General features: G+C 41.4%; 2 long non-coding RNA genes across 2 annotated transcripts in view, besides 3 other annotated features; one reads left to right on the top strand and one right to left on the bottom strand.

Moving 5' to 3' along the window:
• Positions 1 to 14,517, top strand: part of LINC02275 (long intergenic non-protein coding RNA 2275) — a 58,142-nt gene extending 43,625 nt beyond the window's left edge. Inside the window, exons 4-5 of the long non-coding RNA NR_037878.1 lie at positions 9,091 to 9,217; positions 10,581 to 14,517. This is a non-coding gene — a long non-coding RNA (long intergenic non-protein coding RNA 2275). The remainder of the gene's footprint in view (positions 1 to 9,090; positions 9,218 to 10,580) is intronic.
• The window catches only part of LOC105377530 (uncharacterized), a 28,967-nt gene extending 9,407 nt beyond the window's left edge, over positions 1 to 19,560 (bottom strand). Inside the window, exon 1 of the long non-coding RNA XR_939439.3 lies at positions 19,210 to 19,560. This is a non-coding gene — a long non-coding RNA (uncharacterized LOC105377530). The remainder of the gene's footprint in view (positions 1 to 19,209) is intronic.
• Positions 7,790 to 8,314: an enhancer, noted in NCBI's record as "H3K27ac-H3K4me1 hESC enhancer chr4:170845115-170845639 (GRCh37/hg19 assembly coordinates)". NCBI's record gives its function as "activates a minimal SCP1, AML or CMV promoter by ChIP-STARR-seq in primed H9 embryonic stem cells {active_cell/tissue: H9 hESC(primed)}" and the evidence as "EXISTENCE:reporter gene assay evidence [ECO:0000049][PMID:30033119]".
• Positions 12,147 to 12,694: an enhancer, noted in NCBI's record as "OCT4-NANOG-H3K27ac hESC enhancer chr4:170840735-170841282 (GRCh37/hg19 assembly coordinates)". NCBI's record gives its function as "activates a minimal SCP1, AML or CMV promoter by ChIP-STARR-seq in naive and primed H9 embryonic stem cells {active_cell/tissue: H9 hESC(naive and primed)}" and the evidence as "EXISTENCE:reporter gene assay evidence [ECO:0000049][PMID:30033119]".
• Positions 12,695 to 13,240: an enhancer, noted in NCBI's record as "OCT4-NANOG-H3K27ac hESC enhancer chr4:170840189-170840734 (GRCh37/hg19 assembly coordinates)". NCBI's record gives its function as "activates a minimal SCP1, AML or CMV promoter by ChIP-STARR-seq in naive H9 embryonic stem cells {active_cell/tissue: H9 hESC(naive)}" and the evidence as "EXISTENCE:reporter gene assay evidence [ECO:0000049][PMID:30033119]".
• Positions 19,561 to 20,288: the final 728 nt, after the last annotated feature.

The raw sequence follows: 20,288 nt of genomic DNA, 5'->3' as shown, positions 1-20,288 counted from the left end.
AGCTTTCTCACCATATTAATAATGGACTGTCCTTCAAATATAAGTCCAAGGTCTTCGTGTTGCTTTTTCCAGTAATTGTGACAGGCAGTATGAACCATAAACATTCTGTAGCCCCAGCGTTTTATGTCCTGTGATGCACAATGCTTAAAAGCCTGGTCCCAGTTGGGGGCCCAGCCTATAAATGTGAAGTAGACCTATTATTTAATTGGCCTGTGTGGAGATGAAAACTGTGGTCCTAGTTATGTCAATGCCAGGCTTTAACCATAATATTTTTTCCAGATTGCTAAAATCACTTTATAGGTTATCTATTCACACTCCTGCTGTGATTCAAATTTTTAACAAGAACAAAAATACAATCTCTGATCAGAATGGAGAAGATGGCATTTCACTCATCACAGTAATTATGAAATATTTGTTATGTTCTGTTGAGATTGGGGCCTTAATGATACTACAACCTTCTCTGGTCATCATCCATATTAGCCAAAGAAGTATTTTACAACCGTTCTGCTCATCTGAATAATCTCCAAGGGGAGAACATATTGATTTGGAGTGCTTTTAAAAGGATGGTAATTAATGGATTTAGGATGAGCTATGCTCACCCAAATTACAGAGGAGAGATTTATTTCCCTAGATGGTACTTTTACAGTTTTCCAGTGTTGTGTATTTTGTCTCACCAGACAGGGTAACAGGTTATCATTTGCATTCTATTTTAACTCAGAATAATGTCTTCAATTTTCTTCTATTTCGTGTGTAGGATTTCTGTAATTTTGGTGTTTTTCTCTCATACTAGGGCTTGACCATTAGGGAGAAAACATATGGATCCAAATGATACCCTTGATACCAAGATTTCTTGGATCCATCATGAACATTCCAAAGCTTATGGAGGAGCTGTAGGTCACAGGATGGCTAGAGAAGGAGAAGAGAAGCTTATTGGATACAACTTCTGAATTAGAGACAGGCTTTATGTTCAGGCTCATTTCTCCTATCCATTTTGAAAATGGCTCAATTTAAAAAAAAATTATTTTTAAGTTCAGAAGTACGTTTGTACCAGGGGGATTTGTTGTGCAGACTATTTTGTCACCCAGTTATTAAGCCTAGTGCCCGTTAGTTATTTTTCATGATCCTTTCCCTCCTCCCACCCTCCACACTCCAATAGGCCCCAATGTCTATTGTTCCCCTCTATGAGTCCATGTGTTCTCATCATTTAGCTCCCACTTATAAGTGAGAACATGCAGTATTTGGTTTTCTGTTCCTGCTTTAGTTTGCTAAGGATAAAGGCCTCCAGCTCCATCCGTGTTCCTGCAAAGGACATGATCTTGTTCTTTTTCATAGCTGCATAGTATTCCATGATGTATATGTACCACATTTTCTTTATCCAATCTACTATTGATGGGCATTTAGGTTGAATATATGTCTCTTTTCTTGTGAACAGTGCTGCAGTGAAGATACATGTGCACATGTCTTTATGACAGAATGGTTTATATTCCTTTGGGTATATTCCTGTTCATGGAACTGCTGTGTGGAATGGTATTTCTGTTTTTAGGTCTCTGAGGAATCGCCACACTGTCTTCCACAATGACTGAACTAATTTACATTCCCACCAATAGTGTATAAGTGTTCCTTTTTCTCTGCAACCTCACCAGCATCTGTTATTTTTTGACTTTTTAATAATAGCCTGTAAGGAACATGGCTGTGGTTTGTTCAAGGATAGGCCAAGGTAAGATGTTTGCATTCTGCATGACTTGTGAGTTTAGAGTGCACACATATAACTCCACTTGTTATCACAGCCATGTAGCCATAACATGGGAAGGCCATGCCTTGCTCTAAGCCAGTATTGTTTGCAAAAGGTATAATTGTCCTGCTGACACTGTACAGGTGCGCTGGCACCCAAAGAGAGAGAGAGAGCCAGAGGGGTCTGTCTTTGTAGATAGACAGGAGGGAGCCAGGACACAGCTCAGCTCACTTGTGCCCAGAGAGAGAGAGTTAAGCTGCTGACCCTGAAGGCAAGGGAGGGCTGTCGGTGCAGCTGTGTGTTTGGGAGCTGCTGAACTAAGCAACTGAGACAGGGCAGACAGTGTGAGATAGCTAGTGTGAGAAAGCTGTTAATGAAAACTGCTGCTGAATAAAGCCATGTCTCATCTACCTGCTGTCTCTCGAGTGTTCTTCCAGCTCCCTGCCCCATGTCCACCCACTCCCCTCAGCCCTCAGCTGGGGCTGGAACCTGACCCTGAGCATGACATAGCCAGAAAGTGGCTCAATTTTCATAGTGATAAGGATAGGAGGACTGTGAGAAAAAAAAAATCTTTTCACAGAGAGAAAAGGTTTAATTTTAGAAAACTTTCAAAATACACTCCTTTGAACTGGGCATGCGGCTTTATACTGTTGTTCCCACAATGCTATGGACATCAGGAGGCCTATCAATGGTTCTAAAAGCCCACGTGCCTCACTCTTTCCCTAGAGCCCCACAACATTTACAGCAATGGAGAGATTTCCGGGGTGGAAACTCAATTCCATTTTCTTGATGGTATGGTAGTGGGAGAAAGAGAATAGGGAATTGTAGAGGAAGGAAAGAATTTGGTGACAAGGCTAAAAGACTCAGCAGCATTCTAAAGCATGCCAAGACCAAAGTTGCTGTTTCCTGATTCTGAATCTAGAAATAGGCCCAGGAAGCAATCAAAACATAACTTAATTCTTTCTATATTAATATTCATAATTATAGCTAACAACTACTGCACAAAGCACTTTACTTGAATTATTTAATTTAATCTGCACAAGAAGTCTTTTAGGTACCATTATTATCCTCATTTTACCAACAAGGAAAATGATATTTAAAAGAGGCTAAGTAACTTGCCCAAATTATACTTGTAGTACGTTTGACAGACTGTTACCAATCCCATATCTCCTTGATTCTGGAGTTTATACTCCCACTAGACTTCTGCCAGAGGATGTTTTGTGGAAGATGCTTCTGCTCTGTGGGGCTTTCCTAATTTGCCCCTAATACTAACGCAGGTTCCCAAGTCTTAACACTTCTCAGGGACTTAGATAAAGGGCAGCCGGTTGTAACAGAAAGAGGCTGAACTAAGAGTCAAAACCTTCCCCAGCAGCTGCACTTGCTAGTCACATGAACCTGTGCTACTCATTTGGCCTGTTGGAACCTCAGACATAGGGGAGGGATGATATTTTCTCTTCCAACCTGACATGGATGTTGAAAAGAGCAAATGTGAGAAAACTGTATAGATGAACAAGATTTGAAAACTATGAAGTGCTTTCTAAATGTATTAGTGTAAGAATCAGAGTGGATTTGAGGGGTGAAATCAATTTGGGTAATCTTACACATCTTACACATCACCCCTACCAGGTGGGTGGTTTCTAGGCATCTCAAGGGATTTAAAATAAAAGTTGCATAAGGGAACAGTCTCAGAACACTAACGTACCCATCGGCCGGGTGCGGTGGCTCATGCCTGTAATCCTAGCACTTTGGGAGGCTGAGGCGGGTGGATCACCTGAGGTCAGGAGTTCGAGACCAGCCTGACCAACATGGAGAAACCCTGTCTCTACTAAAAATACAAAAATTAGCCAGGCATGGTGGTGCATACCTGTAATCCCAGCTACTCTGGAGGCTGAGGCAGGAGAATCACTTGAACCCAGGAGACGGAGGTTGCGGTGAGCCAAGAACATGCCATTGCACTTCAGCCTGGGCAACAAGAGCAAAACTCTGGCTCAAAAATAAAAAAAAAAAAAAAAAGAACACTAACGTACCCAATTTATTTGTCTTCCTTCTTTTCCCTAATCTCTCCTTCATGAAAATTGGTTAAAACTATTAATGCTATATTGGACTGCTGTCTTGGGCTTCTCAGCCTCTCTCCTGATTTCCTTATCTGCCAAATAAACATGATGGTCTAGATCTGTGCTGTCAACACAGCACTGGCCATGTGTGGCTACTTAATGGAAATTAAGTTAAATTAAACATTTAATTCCTCAGTCACACCAGCTACATTTCAATTACTTACATGAAGCTAGTGGCTACTGCATTGGCAATACAGAGATAGAGCATTTCCATCATCTCAAAAAGTTGTACTGGAAGGCGCTGGTCGAGATAGTTTGTAAAAGCCAATCCATTTCCAACTCCTATTGAATTAACCTGGTTAATTGTTTCTTGTATGCTTTGAATGAAGCCCTTTTGCAATTGATATATGAATACCTGTGCACACCATGTCAAAGAAGATACTGGTTTAGTCAACAAAATATATAACAACCGTGGTACATTATATGTGTTGAATATTTTTAAAATTTCTAATTGAAACATTTCCCAAGACAATATATTTACATTAAAAGTCTAAAACAGAGCTGGGCACGGTGGCTCATGCCTGTAATCCCAGCACTTTGGGGGGCCGAGGTGGGTGGATCACCTGTGGTCAGGAGTTTGAGACCAGCCTGGGCAACATGGTGAAACCCTGTCTCTACTAAAAATACAAAAATTAGCCAGGTGTGGTGGTGCATGCCTGTAATCTCAGCTACTCAGGAGGCTGAGGCAGGAGAATTGCTTGAACCTGGGAGACGGAGGTTGCAGTGAGCCAAGATTGTGCTACAATACTCTAGCCTGGGTGACAGAGCAAGACCCTGCCAAAAAAAAAAAAAAAAAAAAAGATTGAAAAAAAGGGAGACTTTAATGTGCTTAAAAAGAGAATTCTTTTTTATACCAATTTTTTTCTCACTTCCTTTTGAACCTAGAAGGGGGTTTCTCTTATATATCTTTGTTGTTTGTGTGACCTAATTCTGTCTTAGACAAATAGAGAAAGTGGGCACCTCTGCCAAATAACCCTGCAACCTAAAACCTGGAGCAGTTCTCTGAGAAGCAGCCGCTTCATCCCTGAAGGTATCTGGCATTTCAAACCGTTACACTGAACAAAAAACGAATACATTCGTTTTTATTCCATTGTTTAAGATGCTGACACAAACACCACTCATTCATAAACTGAAAATAAGCACAAAAATCCTCTACTACTTCAAGACAAAAATGTCAAAGTTTAAAATTTTTCAAGACAGTTATACCAAGATTTTTTTTCTGTGACAATCTGGCAACACTTGAGAATATCTCATTCCATTTTTCTCCTTTTCTCTCTATCTCTCCTTATCCCACTCCTACCCCTGCTTCTTCTTCGCTCTCTCTCTCTCTTTGATTTTTAATCATAAAGTAGACTAGTTGTATTTATTTTTTCTCCCTGAGTCCTATGCTTTCAAAAATTCTTATAGGGATAATGACTCCACATTATGAGAGTGTGAAAAACAGGAAATGGTGGGGAAGAGAGCATCTATAACACCACCAGTTCTTCAGAATGGCTATTAGCACTGTCATCTATTTCAAGTTTTCTTACATAAATACTTTTAAAAATTTTTTACTATATAGGTATCTTTAAAATATACTTGCAACTGTACACTTTTTTTTGAGACAGGGTCTCACTCTGTCACCTAGGTTAGAGTGCAGTGGCGTGATCTCAGCTCACTGCAACCTCCACCTCCCAGGCTCAAGCGATCCTCCTACCTCAGCCTCTTGAGTAGCTGGGACCACAGGCATGCACCACCACACCTGGCTAATTTTTGTATTTTTTATATAGACGGGGTTTTGCTATGTTGTCCAGGATGGTCTCGAACTCCTGAGCTCAAGCAATCCTCTCACCGCGGCCTCCCAAAGTGCTAGGATTACAGGCATGAGCCACCATGCCTGGGAACTATACACTTAAAACAATTTTTTAAAATTTCTTACATTTACCAACATAAAATTCGTGCTTTAAATAGAGCACTTATTTATTTTGTTTACTCATTCCTCCTAAAACCAGCCCCGACGGTTAAGGGAGGAAACAAGAAGTACTGTCTCTCTATAAAAGTGGCATTAAGCCAGATAAGCCTGGTCAAGTTTCATGATGCCAAGTCATTAAATAAGCTCTCCACAAGGACACAGTGGGAACTTTCTGCACAGAAGAAGGTCTTATGGAAGTTGGGAATGGTTGGAAGAAAGCACAGCCATTCCCCACCCACCTCTAAGAAAACACAAGGTTGGTCTTAGACTATGTAACTATTTATTCAGATTCTCACTGGGATAATCCAAATCCCACAACCTCCTAAGGCATATGTGGGCTGCAACTCTGATTTTTAAGAATCCTTAAAATCCTCAGTGGATTTGATTTACAGTCCAAAGGAGGATAGTCCACTCCCCTGTCCTAAAGACTTACATAATAATTAAGGTTTTGGGGGGACCAAATAACAGAACCCACATCTGGCCAACTTAAGGAAAAAAGGAGTGAGATGTCATTGGAAAGATACTGGAGTAGCCCACGGAACTGAAGGATGAATTAAAGTACATGATCCTCTTCTTTAGAAAACTGCCGTCAATGTGACTCAGCTCTGAAAACTCCCAGACTCTCTGCCTTCAGGTCCAAATTTCCATTTCCAAGGCAAGAAATTGAAATAGTTCAGTTGAGTCAAGCATGTACCAACCAACAATATCACATGGAGCAGGCTTGGATGCCGGAAGCCCCTCAGTGACCCCAAGGCATCCACGGTTATCTAGACTCAAAGAGCTCCATCTTATTCTGAGCAACACATTTTCTATATATATATCTAACTTGATCTTTCTATTAGGCTAAATATAAATATTAGATTGGTGCAAAAGTAATTATTGTTTTTGCCATTGAAAGGAATGGGGTGGGTGGGAAATGGCTGTGGTTTCTTCTAACCGCTCCCAACTTCCATAAGACTTTCTTCTGTGCAGAAAGATCCTGCTCTGTCCTCTAGAGAGCTCATAATACAATAGGGGGATGAGGTCTGCCTTAAAGAGGAGAAAGCCTATGCGGAGAGGCTGGTGGGGAGGAAATGCCGTTGAGGAAGAATTCCTGAGGGAGACGTTCCTATGTCCCTCAAATTCAAATACCAACTAGAGTCACATTTAATCAGTAGAACAACCATCCTTTTCCCAATAGCAGCTATACTGAGAGCAGCACCAGCTCCCACTCACTGCCTGGCAATCTGACAGTGTGAAGCCTTCAGAGACTTTCTTTTTTGATTTTTTGTTTTGTTTTGTTTCGTTTTGTTTTCCGCCTCCTGGATTCAAGTGATTCTCCTGCCTCAGCCTCGCAAGTAGCTGGGATTAAAGATGCCCACCACCACGCCTGGCCAATTTTTTGTTTTTGTTTTTGTTTTTGAGACGGAGTCTTGCTCTGTCGCCCAGGCTGGAGTGCAGTGGCACCATCTCAGCTCACTGCAAGCTCCGCCTTCCCTGGTTCACGCCATTCTCCTGCCTCAGCCTCCCGAGTAGCTGGGACTACAGGCGCCCGCCACAACGCCCGGCTAACTTTTTGTATTTTTAGTAGAGACGGGGTTTCACCGTATTAGCCAGCATGGTCTCGATCTCCTGACCTCTGGCGATCCACCGGCCACGGCCTCCCAAAGTGCTGGGATTACAGGCGTGAGCCACTGCGCCCGGCCCTTCGGCTACATTCTTATACTGCAAAGTTTAGGAACAGAGAAAGCTGACAACACCAAGTTCAAATGCAGGTTCACCTGTGGAATCTTCCCTAGACATCCAGCGAAAACTGCTCTTCTTCCTCAAACTCCTGCAGGAGTGGTTACCTTCTGGGGCCTGGCATTACTATAAAGTGTTCTGTGAATCTACATGCTCCCCAATCATTATCACTAGGCCGAGTGATATATCTCACCCATATATTTCCCACTACTTTCAAATATGTATCATTGTTGTGATCAAGTAAAGCATTCCTAGGACGTATGCAGTGGCTCATACCTGTAATCCCAGCACTTTGGGATGCCGAGGAGGGTGGATCATCTGAGGTCAGAAGTTCGAGACCAGCCTGGCCAAAATGGCAAAACCCTGTCTCTAAAGAGGAAAAAGCCTACGGGGCTTTTCTCTACTAAAAATACAAAAATTAGCCGGGCGTGGTGGTGGGGGCCTATAATCCCAGCTACTGACGAGGCTGAGGCTGAGGCTGAGGATGAGGCTGAGGCAGGAGAATCGCTTGAAGGGCAGGGGCAGTGGGGAGGGTGCGGTGCGGGGAGGTGTGGAGGTTGCAGTGAGCCGAGATCGCACCACTTCACTCCCACCTGGGCAAAAGAGTGAAACTCCATCTCAAACAAACAAACACACAAGGGCCAGGCGTGGTGGCTCACGCCTGTAATCCCAGCACTTTGGGAGGCCAGAGGCGGGTGGATCACGAGGTCAGGAGATCGGGACCATCCTGGCTAACGCGGTGAAACCCCGCCTCTACTAAAAATACAAAATTAGCCGGGCATGGTGGCCGGCGTCTGTAGTTACTCGGGAGGCTGAGGCAGGAGAATTGCTTGAACCTGAGACATGGAGGTTGCAGTGAGCCGAGATCGCGCCACTGCACTCCAGCCTGGCGACAGAGCGAGACTCCGTCTCAAAAAACAAACAAACAAAACAAAAAACAAAAAAAGAAGAAAAGCATTCCTGACTTCACAGTAGTTTTATACATATATATATTTCCTCGGTCAACAAGTAATTCCAGTAACCATTACGTGGGGGGTTGTCTCAAAGTTTTGATGTTAAGAAAGGGCCACTCCAGATATGATGTGATGAGGAATAATATGGAAGATCAGCAAATGTCCTGGTATCGGCTGGATAAAAAGAATAGAGGAAACAGGGCCAAGGCAAATATGATTTTCTAGGCAACACCTGGCTGTGGCTTTAGTCAGGAGTAACTGGAACTAACTCTAAAGCCATTCTTCATAGTAATTGCACTTTGTGATATATAAAATTATGTCTTATAAAAGCTGTGTTTAAATTAATGGCATATTAAATAAACATGTATTTACATTGGGTTAACTTTAGTAATTAAAATTAATTAGTATGCTAACTTCATGAAGTTAAACTCAATAAAGTTAAACTTGCTAGGAAAACAAAAAAGTGGCTCATCCTAAAAAATGGTGGGAATCACTTTAGTCTTTGCCATTCCTGTGACAAATATGACCTCATAAGTGATCATTGTCTCTCTGAAAAAAAAAAAAATTCCATAAGGAAAGAAAAATCTAACAAGCCTATTGCTAATTACTTCACTTCAGATGTAACCAGACATAAAGGAAATTCAAATGAATTCGAGGTTGAAATTGGTCTAAGGAACAATATTTAGCTTTGAAGGTGAATTTCAGCATTGCCTTCCCTTTTGCTGAATTTGCAGTTTCCCATATGGTAAGTGATGCTGATTTGAAATTTGATTTTACTGTCATGTTTTTCTCTAGCAGTTCTCTTAATGGCTGGGTTCCAAATTTCACCTAAATGCTCCAATTGTTGAGCCATAAAGCTGGTACAGTTCTAAAGCTATTTTTCAGACAAATTACCATACAGAGCAATGTTTTAGTGTCACTGTCTGGAGCCTGCGTGGCAGGACAAGGAGTCTGAGGCAGAGGTGGGAGCTTTGCCAGCTGAAATACAGGCACCTAGATTGTGCAATTCTGCATCATGCCTTGTTCTCAGGGGATGCCACAGTCTCATTTCAGGAACAACTCAAGACTCCAACAGCAGCAGGAGCATCTTGTTTCCCGTTTCCTAACTCACAGCCTTGCAGTGCTAGTCAAGCCTTCATTTCCTTTTGTGCTTCAGGAGAAAAATTGTAGCTTGGTGTCAGCATGTTGATTACCTGGCCAAAATGGAATTATGCTATAGACTGGTAGAGCTGTACCTTCTCATTCCTTTTAACAATGATTTCAATCCCTTTTCTACCTTTCTATCACCCTGCATTCTCTTCAGTCTCTCTTTCTCCTTGCAGATAGATGATAGATAGATAGATAGATAGATAGATAGATAGATAGATAGATAAACAGATAGATAGATAGGTAGACAGACAGATCTCCATTTACATCTTTTATCTCTCCTCTCTTCCTAATACAATTCACACCAACAGGACCACAGGCTCCTAGGGCCTCAAGAATCCAAATAAATAGCTAACAGAGTTTTGCCACACCACTCAGAGTCAGGCAGATCTAATTGTAGGTAGCACCATCATTTTCCACCAAAGAAAAGAGAACAAATCCAGGAACAATCAGAGGGAAAATGAAACATTTTTTGTTATTGCTTTTCTTTGGGACTGTGAATAATGTTTTTAAATGTCTTTTTAGGTGCTTAATATTTTAGGTCTAAAACTACCTGCTTGTCCAATTGAAATATTAAGTCACCAGATCAATGATGATACAGTCTGCACTGTTACATTTTAATAAATAGTAATGATAATAGCAATTAACCTCCCCTATGCATTCTTTGTACAATGCACTGTGCACTGAAACTCTCCTCCCACACCCTGTAGTACATCTGCTGTTTCTCATGCTGCCTGGAGAGCAAACATATTTTCACTCCATCCTACTCCATCCTGTAACATGGTTATCAGGTGCTGGGGGAGGAGACGAGGGAAAGGATGAGAGAAGGGGTGAATGATAAACAGAGAAAGACAAAAAGGGCACAGAGAAGCAGAGAGAACTGTATATATACACATACATTCTGGACTTCAGGAGGAAGAGATGTACTGCCTAACTGTTCTCTCCCTGACACATTCTCTAAGGCATCCAGGTATACACACAGCTGCATCGTGTCACTGCAAGCGGCTCCCAGAGTTGTTCCTGTTCATCCAGGAAGAAAGAAAATCCCGCCAAAGATTGAGAGAGATCAATAAATGTATTTCCAAAGAACCTGAAAGAAGATGTTTCCATTTGGCTGTCTTACCCTCTATCCAAGCTCAGAGGGAAATGCATTCAAGAACGTTAACGGCCAGCACAAATTCCATTCCAAGCCATGGAGCGGGAAGGGCACATGATACCAAGTGTCCCACCAGACGGCCATCTTGCTAACTAATACACCTCGGGATTACATTTGCATTTACACAAAATGTGAGCTTTGGGAGCCAGACGTATTATTTTGGTTAATAGTTTGGCACGTTCTCAGCTTGGAAGCCTGAGCATATGTGATGGGTCAGTAACACAATAAAAGTAACGGGGAAGCATTTCTTTCCCCAGTGGTGAATTTCTACCCTATTCAGGAAACAGACTTCCCAACTCAGCCATTACAGCTGTCTGGATCGTTCATACCATTTGCTGTTAAATATACCCAAGTAGGAAAAACAGTGTCTTTGTATTTGCTGTTAAATGTAATCAGAGACAATCTTTACGGTCATTCGGGATCATTACTATCAGCATAATTACTGCTTTAGAGAACAATAATCATACATATGTGTGGTATAGATATGCGGGGAGTCCAATGCAGAAATGCAGAAGAGACAAAAGTGCCTGTTAATATTTTACGAAAGCTGTAATTTTATTGAAAATTAACTAATTTACCTAAAGGAACAACTTCGTATAGGATTTTTTAGCTCAATGTGTTCAACAAAGTAGAAAAAATTACAGGGGGGAAAAGAAACCCTTACCCAGTACATTGATGCCTGACATGACGTGATTAGAAGTAATCTATATTTTGCAAGTTTAAGAACTATCTCTAGTTAAGATGTAATACCTTTATATGAGAATGTGCAGCGACTCCTCGAGTCAATAACTGTGTAAGTGTCTGTGTGTGTCCATTTATTTTGTAAAAGAGAGATGATATGTTAAAACATGTCCTCTTTCTTTTTTCTTCCTCACTTGCTTGCATATGACATTCCAGAGGATTCCACCTGCCTCCGGGAGAATTAGAATTACTGCAGAAATGCAAAGAGAAAGAAAGTTTTTGACTGCCAGCATAGGATTTTGAAACCCATAGAAACAACAGTCTTGAAAGCCTATAAATTTGAGAGAGAAAAGGGATTTCTAAAGCCTCAAAAATTTCCTTTACATCTAACAAGCAAAACTAGCAGGACTGATCATAAATTCACACTAAGCCATTGCCAGGAAGAATTTAGAATGTGCCATAAAGTTTCAACCACAGAAATAAAACTGAAAAAGGCAACAAAAAAGCCAATATAAATAAAAAATAAACAGACCAAAACAAACAAACAAAAAAACCAAAACTACAAAACAATAAGTTCCAACCAGAAAGAAAAGGTTGCACTCAAAGGGTTTTTTTGCAATCATAAGTTTGTGACTGTCACGCACGTCTGTGTGAAGAGACCACCAAACAGGCTTTGTGTGAGCAACAAGGCTGTTTATTTCACCTAGGTGCAGGCAGGCTGAGTCCGAAAAGAGAGTCAGCAAAGGGAGATAGGGGTGGGGCACTTTTATAGGATTTGGGTGAGTAGTGGAAAATTACAGTCAAAGGGGGTTGTTCTCTTGCGGGCAGGGGCGGGGGTCACAAGGTGCTCAGTGGGGGAGGTTCTGAGTCAGGAAAAGGAATTTCACAAGGTTAATCGCTCAGTTAAGGTGGGGCAGGAACAAATCACAATGGTGAAATGTCATCAGTTAATGCAAGAACTGGCCATTTTCACTTCTTTTGTGATTCTTCACTTGCTTCAGGCCATCTGGATGCATACATGCAGGTCACAGGGGATATGATGGCTTAGGTTGGGCTCAACGGCCCGACAGTGACAAGGGAGTTGTGAGAATGAATGGGATAATATGCCTGAAGCACTTAGCACAATTATTGTCGCTGAAAAGAGTCAAGCTGTAAAATATTTGAAAAGATTTATTCTGAGCCAAATATGAGTGACCATGGCCTCTGGCACATCCATCAGGAGATCCTGAGAACATGTACCCAAGGTGGTCAGGAAGTCATGAGACATCAATCAGATACATTAAGAAATATATTGGCTTGGTCCAGAACAGCGGGACAACTCGTGGGGTGGGGCAGGCTTCCAGGCTATAGGTCAATTTCATGTTCAGGTTAAGATTCTGGAGACCAAGGTTCTTTTGAAGTCTCATAGTGGCTGCCCTTAGAGACAACAGAAGACAAACGTTTCCTATTCAGACCTTTAAAAGGTGCTAGACTCTCCGTTAACCTCTTCAGGACTGGGAGGGCCTGGAAGAAAAAGATCTAGCTATGTTAATAGAGTTTCTTTACAGATGCAAATTTTCTGCCACAAAGGACAGCTTTGCACGGCCATTTCAAAATACAGCAAAGAAACATGTTTTGGGATAAAATATTTTTATTTTCTTGTTTGTCACATAATGTTATGCAAGAGTCAGATTGGAAAGTAAATCACGATATATAGGCTTAAATAAAACCCATCTGATGAGAATTTATGGTTTGTAGGGCATGACTCTCCAGACCCCTTTAGATAGGAATTTGGCTAAGATAAGAAAAAAATCAGAGCTTAGTCCTCAATTCCCAGCATTTGATAAATACTCTCATGTTTATAAAAAACGTTACTACAGTTAACACATTACCTGGTAAATATTACCTCTCTACTTGTCTGCTCCCATCCCACTAGACTCAAATGGATTGAGGGCAGGGATTCCACTTTATTCATTCCTTCATCCTTAGCTCCTATCACAGAGCTTGGTACTTGATAAATTTTTGTGGAGCAAATGAACCTCACTGGTTCTCTGAGACAAAGAAGGCATGCAGTAAGAAGGTCGAGTGGTCCCTGCTCTTTGTTGTTCATTTACAAGACACCATCATCATAAGCACCAGTTTGTGGCTGGTTGTGTAAAAGAAAATAAAAACCTAACCAATCTGAGTTTTAGATTGGGTAAGGATGAGATTTTTTTAACCTTCTGATGATAAAATAATCAGATGGGCTACCCCAAAATGTGGAGGACTCTTTATGCTTAATGAGCTTTTTGAGATGTCAACAATATCTGTCCTGGATGATTTAGACATTCCCTTGCCTGCAGAGAGAGAGCTGGGCCGGATCATCTCTGAAAGTGCCTTCAGCTCTCTATTATCACTACATGATTCTATTAACCAGTTAATATTTTTCCTGTAATTTGCCCTTAGCAACTGCCTAACAACATTACAGGTCCTTCCATAGGATGCAATGATGTGACATTAATCTAATATCACGTCCCCTCTCTGCCTGTTTCACCAACACCTCTCATTCCTTGACCCTGAATAATGATTCAAGGACATCTTCTTTCCTTTTCTTCAACTAAACTAAGACCACCCTTAGGGCTTTAAACCAGTACCCATCATAGGCTCCGTGCTTACTAAAAATCTACCTGGAGGTTCAGATACTTCATTCACCAGGCCTTAAGTTCTTCTGTTGGTTACAGTGAGTTCTAGATTTCTCTTCAAAGAATCAATATGTCAGTATGTTCAGTTTTTTGTCCCCCATTTTAAAGTTAGGCTGGGCGCGGTGGCTCACGCCTGTAATCCCAGCACTTTGGGAGGCCGAGGCAGGTGGATCACCTGAGGTCAAGAGATCGAGAGCATCCTGGCTAACACGGTGAAACCCTGTCTCTACTAAAAATACAAAAAATTAGCCGGGCACGGCAGTGGGCACCTGTAGTCCCAGCTACTCGGGAGGCTGAGGCAGGAGAATGGGGTGAGCCCAGGGGGCGGAGCTTGCAGTGAGCCGAGATAGTGCCACTGCAGTCAGGCCTGGGCGAAAGAGCAAGACTCCGTCTCAAATAAATAAATAAATAAATAAATAAATAAATAAATAAATAATAAAATTTAACTTCCTCGTGGTTTCAGTAAACAACCTTTTTCACCAGTTTTAATCAGTAGTTCACATCTGTTCCCCTGGTCCCCTGCTCCGTCCTGACTCATCCCGGTCACCTGCTTTGACCTGCCTGCGTCACCCCGGTCACCTGCTCTGACCTAAGTCACCTTTAATTACCTGGACCTAACCATCCTTCCTACCAAACTACTGACCCCGCCACTCTGGCTTATACCCCTGCTCTCTTTAAAATAGCCAGTTGGAATTAGCTTATACTGTGCGGTCCAACCCTAGCCAATAGGGGAACGACACAGCAGTAGGGGCCACCTGTGTCAGGAATAAGAACCCCTTCCCCTCCCTTGTTCAGGTGCGCTCTCGCCATTACTCCATTTGTGAGTCGTACCCTTCTATAGAAGTAAAAATTGCCTTGCTGAGAAAATTAAATTTATGTTCATGTGCTATTTCTTTGCAGCACCAAGGAACAAGCATTTTGTTTCTAACACTTCTGTTTCCTTCTTTCATCCCATCCAAACTATATTCTTTTTTTGCTGTTATAAACTAAAACCAATTGCTAACCATAAAAATTGGATTCAGAATCTGGATGCCCTTACATTTAAAAACATCTGAAAATGCCCAAACTCACCATAAGCTTGTGTCTATCTTTGCTGGGTAGTACCAGCTGACATCTGTCCACTCACAAAGACAGACTGGAGAAGAGAATCCAAGGGTCAGAGGATCAGGATAACATGGTAGCTCATTTCCTTCTCACCTTCCAACCTTTCTACCATAGGACAGAGATTAGAACTGTTTATTTAAAAGGATTTACTGACACAATAGCTGTTATAGCTTCACAAAATAGCTGACTTGTCCCTAAGGAGAATTTGAATCTGTGTAGCTTCACGAGGCCTTGAGCCAAAGGTAGCTCTTTCCCCGCCAACAACTTACACACAGTTCAACCTTGCCTCTGCTGGGCATGTCTTCTTTATGCTTGGTTAATCAAGTGAACGGGATTCAGTGATAGCAATAACTGCCCTCTACTGAGTTCCTAATAGGTACCAGGCCCCCTAGCCAGGCAGTGCCATGCACACAGTGGTCTGCATGGATGGCAGCCCTGGAACCATGAGATGCTGCAGCCAGGCCCACCCTACAATCATATAATTCAATTGTAACCACACAGGGTAGAATTATCATTCCCATTCCAAATGAAGAAAAAGGCTTATGAAGGTAACTAAACTGACCAGGGTCACATGAATAGTAAAGAATAGAGCTGGATTTGAAACTCAAGTCTGGTAACCCAAGACCCTGCTATTGTCAGAAATTCTGCTCCATGCTGTGGAATTCAAAAATAAGCAAGTGGGGCTGGGTGCAGTGGAGGTGAGAGGATCGCTTGAGGCCAGGAGTTCAAGACCAGCTTAGACAACATAACAAGATTCTGTCTCTGCAAAAATTATTTTCTTATTTTTTTTAAATTAAAAATTAACAAGTGGACCGGACTTTAAAGACCCCGAAATGCAGTTTGAGAAAACAAGACACATTCATGTAAAATTAAATAGCAATGAGGCCAGGTGCGGTGGCTCATGCCTGTAATCCCAGCACTTTGGGAGGCCGAAGCAGGCAGATCACAAGGTCAAGAGATTGAGACCATCCTAGTCAACATGGTGAAATTCCGTCTCTACTAAAAATACAAAAAATTAGCTTGGTGTGGTGGCTCAAACCTGTAGTCCCAGCTACTCGGGAGGCAGAGGCAAGAGAATCGCTTGAACCTGGGAGGTGGAGGTTGCAGTGAGCCAAGAAGACACCACTACACTCCAGCCTGAGTGACAGAGCAAGACTCCATCTCAAAAAAAAAAAAAAAATTAAATTAAATAACAATGAAATGTTGAAATAATGGCTCAGGTCAAGAGAGAAAATGTGTCACGGGGCAGACCATGATTCATTGCTAAATGGACCATGTAGCAATAATCGTTACAACCGTTTAGAGAACACAGGTTTACAAATATTTACAAGTTTTGGTGAACATAGTCCATGTACTGGGAATTTCTAAGTAAGGTCCTAAAACTGGCGGCAACACAAAGGCAAATAATAAAAGAAAGACATGACCTTGTTTCTACTGCAAAAAGTCCTCGTAGAAGGGAAGCCACCAGGCACTTGTAGGGAAGGAAAAAGATAAAGGGTCTATGGCAAAACTTTCAGAACTCTGTGAGAATGATTAACGTGACTTTTTTTTTTTTTTGAAAGTTTTGACTTCAGATTTAGCTTATGGTCTCGGGAGCTCAGGTTTCAAATGTGTAAATTATATTATTTGAAGTGAAAATGTGATACATGCTTTGGGTTTTATTTTATAATTTAATATAAAATAAGCTTTAAAAGCTATGGTTTTTACAAAGAAAACTTGAAGGATTTTGTTTTTTAAGACTGATAAGTAGGAGTTGCGCTGGCAAAATCTAAATAGTAACTTCCAATTTAATTCTAATGTTGATGGATATGACAACTAAAGTATTGTGTTCTTCATGTTCCGATCCTGTGAGTAAAGGAGATGCTGATAAATGCTACTGTTCTCTCTTTCAAATCTGCATCGCAGATAGTAGTCATGTGCACTTTTGACTAAGACCAAGTAGACGAGAGTTTATAAGAAGCCTAGGAACTGAATGCCAAATTTAGACTTGGGTTTTGAATCCTTCCTATGCCAGAATGATGATGCTTTCCTTAAATAGTTAACCAACTGGTTTGTTAAGCAAAGCATGTTACAGTAATAAAACTAAGGGGGCAGAGATAAGTATGCCTCTACATAGTTATATATGACTAGAGAAGAAAGACTAGTATTTTATACACCAGGGGTGTTTCTTCCCAAACACTAGTCCCATAAGGCAGGGGTCTCCACCCCCGCTGCCACAGACCGGCCCTGTTAGGAACTGGGCCACACAGCAGGAGGTGACTGGCAAGTGAGTGTTACCGCCCAAGCTCTGCCCCCTGCCAGGTCAGCAGCAGCATTAGATTCTCATAGGATCGTGAACCCTATTGTGAACTGTACATGTGAGGAATCTAGGTTGTGTGCTCCTTATAAGAATCTAATGCCTGATGATCTGAGGTGAAACAGTTTCATCCTGAAACCATCCCCTTTCCCCTCCTACCCATCCTTCCATTCCCCTCCCATCTCCCATCACCCCACCATCCATGGAAAAATTGTCTTCCATGAAACCAGTTCCTGGTGCCCAAAAAGGTTGGGACCGCTGTTATCAACCTTAATATGCAAATCACTTTCACATGTGCGTAACCTTGGAAACCACCTCTGGGATAAACATTATTATTGGCTCCATTTTATAGATGAGAAGTTGACCTTAATGGAGTTAAATGATTTGCAGAACCATACTTAAACACAGATTTCTGGCCAGGCGCGGTGGCTCACGCCTGTAATCCCAGCACTTTGGGAGGCTGAGGCGGGTGGATCACGAGGTCAGGAGATCAAGACCATCCTGGCTAACACGGTGCAACCCGTCTCTACTAAAAAAAAATACAGAAAATTAGCCAGGCGTGGTGGCAGGCGCCTGTAGTCCCAGCTACTCGGGAGGCTGAGGCAGGAGAATGGCATGAACCCGGGAGGCGGAGCTTGCAGTGAGTGGAGATCACGCCACTGCACTCCAGCCTGGGCCACAGAGCGAGACTCCATCTCAGAAAGAAAAACAAAAAACAAAAAAAAACCCCACAGATTTCTTAATTCTGACTCCAAGAATTCAAAAAAAAAAAAAAACCGTTGAAAGTGACTTATTCTATTAGAAATATGGGATAAGTGCCCTTCTTTATTTTCATTTACTGCTATGGGAAACTTGATTACCCCTTCTAAGCCAATATGTCTTCAACATCAAGACACACAAGGTTTCAAAATGTAATTGCATTCTGATACACATAAAGAGTAAAAAAAAAGAATGAAATTAGAGACAGGTCATTCATGGTTAAAAACACTGGCTTTGGAGTCAGACTGGCATCAGACTCAGCTTCCAGTTTTTACTAGTAATGTGAGAGCTTCAGGAAGTTGTTTGACTTCTCTGGGCCTCAGTTTCCTCGTTTGTAAAATAAAAGTAACAAGATCTAACTCATAGGGTGGCTCTAATCATTAAAGAAGATATTACATTCCGAGAGCTTAGTTAATATGTGCTCAATAAATGTTTAAGTCTACTGCTATCATTTATTCAAAAAGCATTACATTGAGTGTGTATTAGATGGTGGGAATATGGAAGGAGAGAATATGGCGCTTGCCCTCATAAATTTTGTATTTTAACCCCAGTTGCCTCCAAAATTTTTATCATAAAGTGCATTATTAAAAAATTTCTGAGCATTATTCCCAAAACATGTATGTATATGTTAATTTATAAATTATATGTATCTATTACTATACTAAAAATTATGTGCATTATAAAACATAAGCAATAAATGAATGCAAAAGAATAAATAATTAAGAACCTACTGAATTATCTTGCACAATCTTTGGAATGTACATACCACACTTTGGAGACCATTGTTTTAGCCCAGGGATTAGCACATTTTTCTGTAAAGGACTGGATAGTAAATAGTTTTGCAGACCACACGAAGTCTCTGCTGCCCAATCTTCTTAGCTTTTTTTTAAAAAAAATTTTTAAGCAACCCTTTTAAAATGTAAAGCAATACTTACCTCCAGAGCTTTGCAAAAACAAAGCTTGCGCTGTAGTTTGACCATCCTGGCTTTACATCGTAGACTGCTCTAGGGTAAACGATTCCAGACAGTGAACTAGTAAACACATAATTACTATAGTAAGTTCTAGATGAAAGAAACTGTTTAGCTCAATGGAGATTAAGGGAGAGGAGGCCAACTTCAGCTAAGATGGTCAGAGAAGATCACATCTCAAGTGAGGCCGGAAGGTGGGGAAGGAGCCAGGCACAGAAGACAGAAGAAAGCCTTCCAGGCAGACGGAAGAACAGGCAAGGACAAGGTCCTCAGGTGGACGAGAACTTGCTTGACCAAGAACTGACAGGAAGTCTGTGTGCCTGGAACTGGTGAAAGAGGGGAAAAGAGCAACATGTGAGATGAGGTTTGTGAGTTGGGCAGAAGCCAGCTTTGGGGAGTCTGGAAGATGATTCCCACCAAGTAAAGCCTCTGAAGCAGAAATGTAGTTAGAGAAGATAAAATCAGCCGATTGTATGTCCCCGGAATGTGAACAAAGTGAAATAATAACCAGAAGGTGGTGGATCAAGGACAGGTTCCTGGGGCAGAAATAAGACTTAAAGAGAAGTCAGTTGTTTTGATTATGTCCTCAAGCTATTGAAGACAATTATTAAACTTATAAATCTTTTATTGTTATTCAACCTTGAAATAAAGTCATGCTGTTCTGACTTTCATGAACCAAACAAACCAACGGAGTTTAGAACAAAGCCCTTCTATTCCCACGTACACATTTTTTTAAGTTGTTCTCTTCAAATTAAAACTGCACTAAAACGTCTTCCTTGGAAGACCACACAGAAGCAGGTAACACTGGCTGCCTCCAGGGAAGGAAACTGGGCATCGGTAGCACAGACGAGGGAGGGGGACAATACACCATGTATCTTATTGTGTTTCCAGATTTTGAACCAGGTCACTCTAATACCTAGTCAAAACGCAAATAAATAAAATTAAATTTAAATTAAAACTTTTAAACCACATTAATTTTGTGCAACCTCAGAAGAACGAAACAGTTCTCTAAAGATTCATTTGACTGAGACAAACAGGCACTCTTG

This window comes from Homo sapiens, chromosome 4 (genome assembly GCF_000001405.40).
Source record: "Homo sapiens chromosome 4, GRCh38.p14 Primary Assembly".
Classification (NCBI taxonomy): Eukaryota; Metazoa; Chordata; class Mammalia; order Primates; family Hominidae; genus Homo; species Homo sapiens.
The sequence above is the reverse complement of the archived record's forward strand: the minus strand, read 5'-3'. Positions and strand labels throughout refer to the sequence as shown.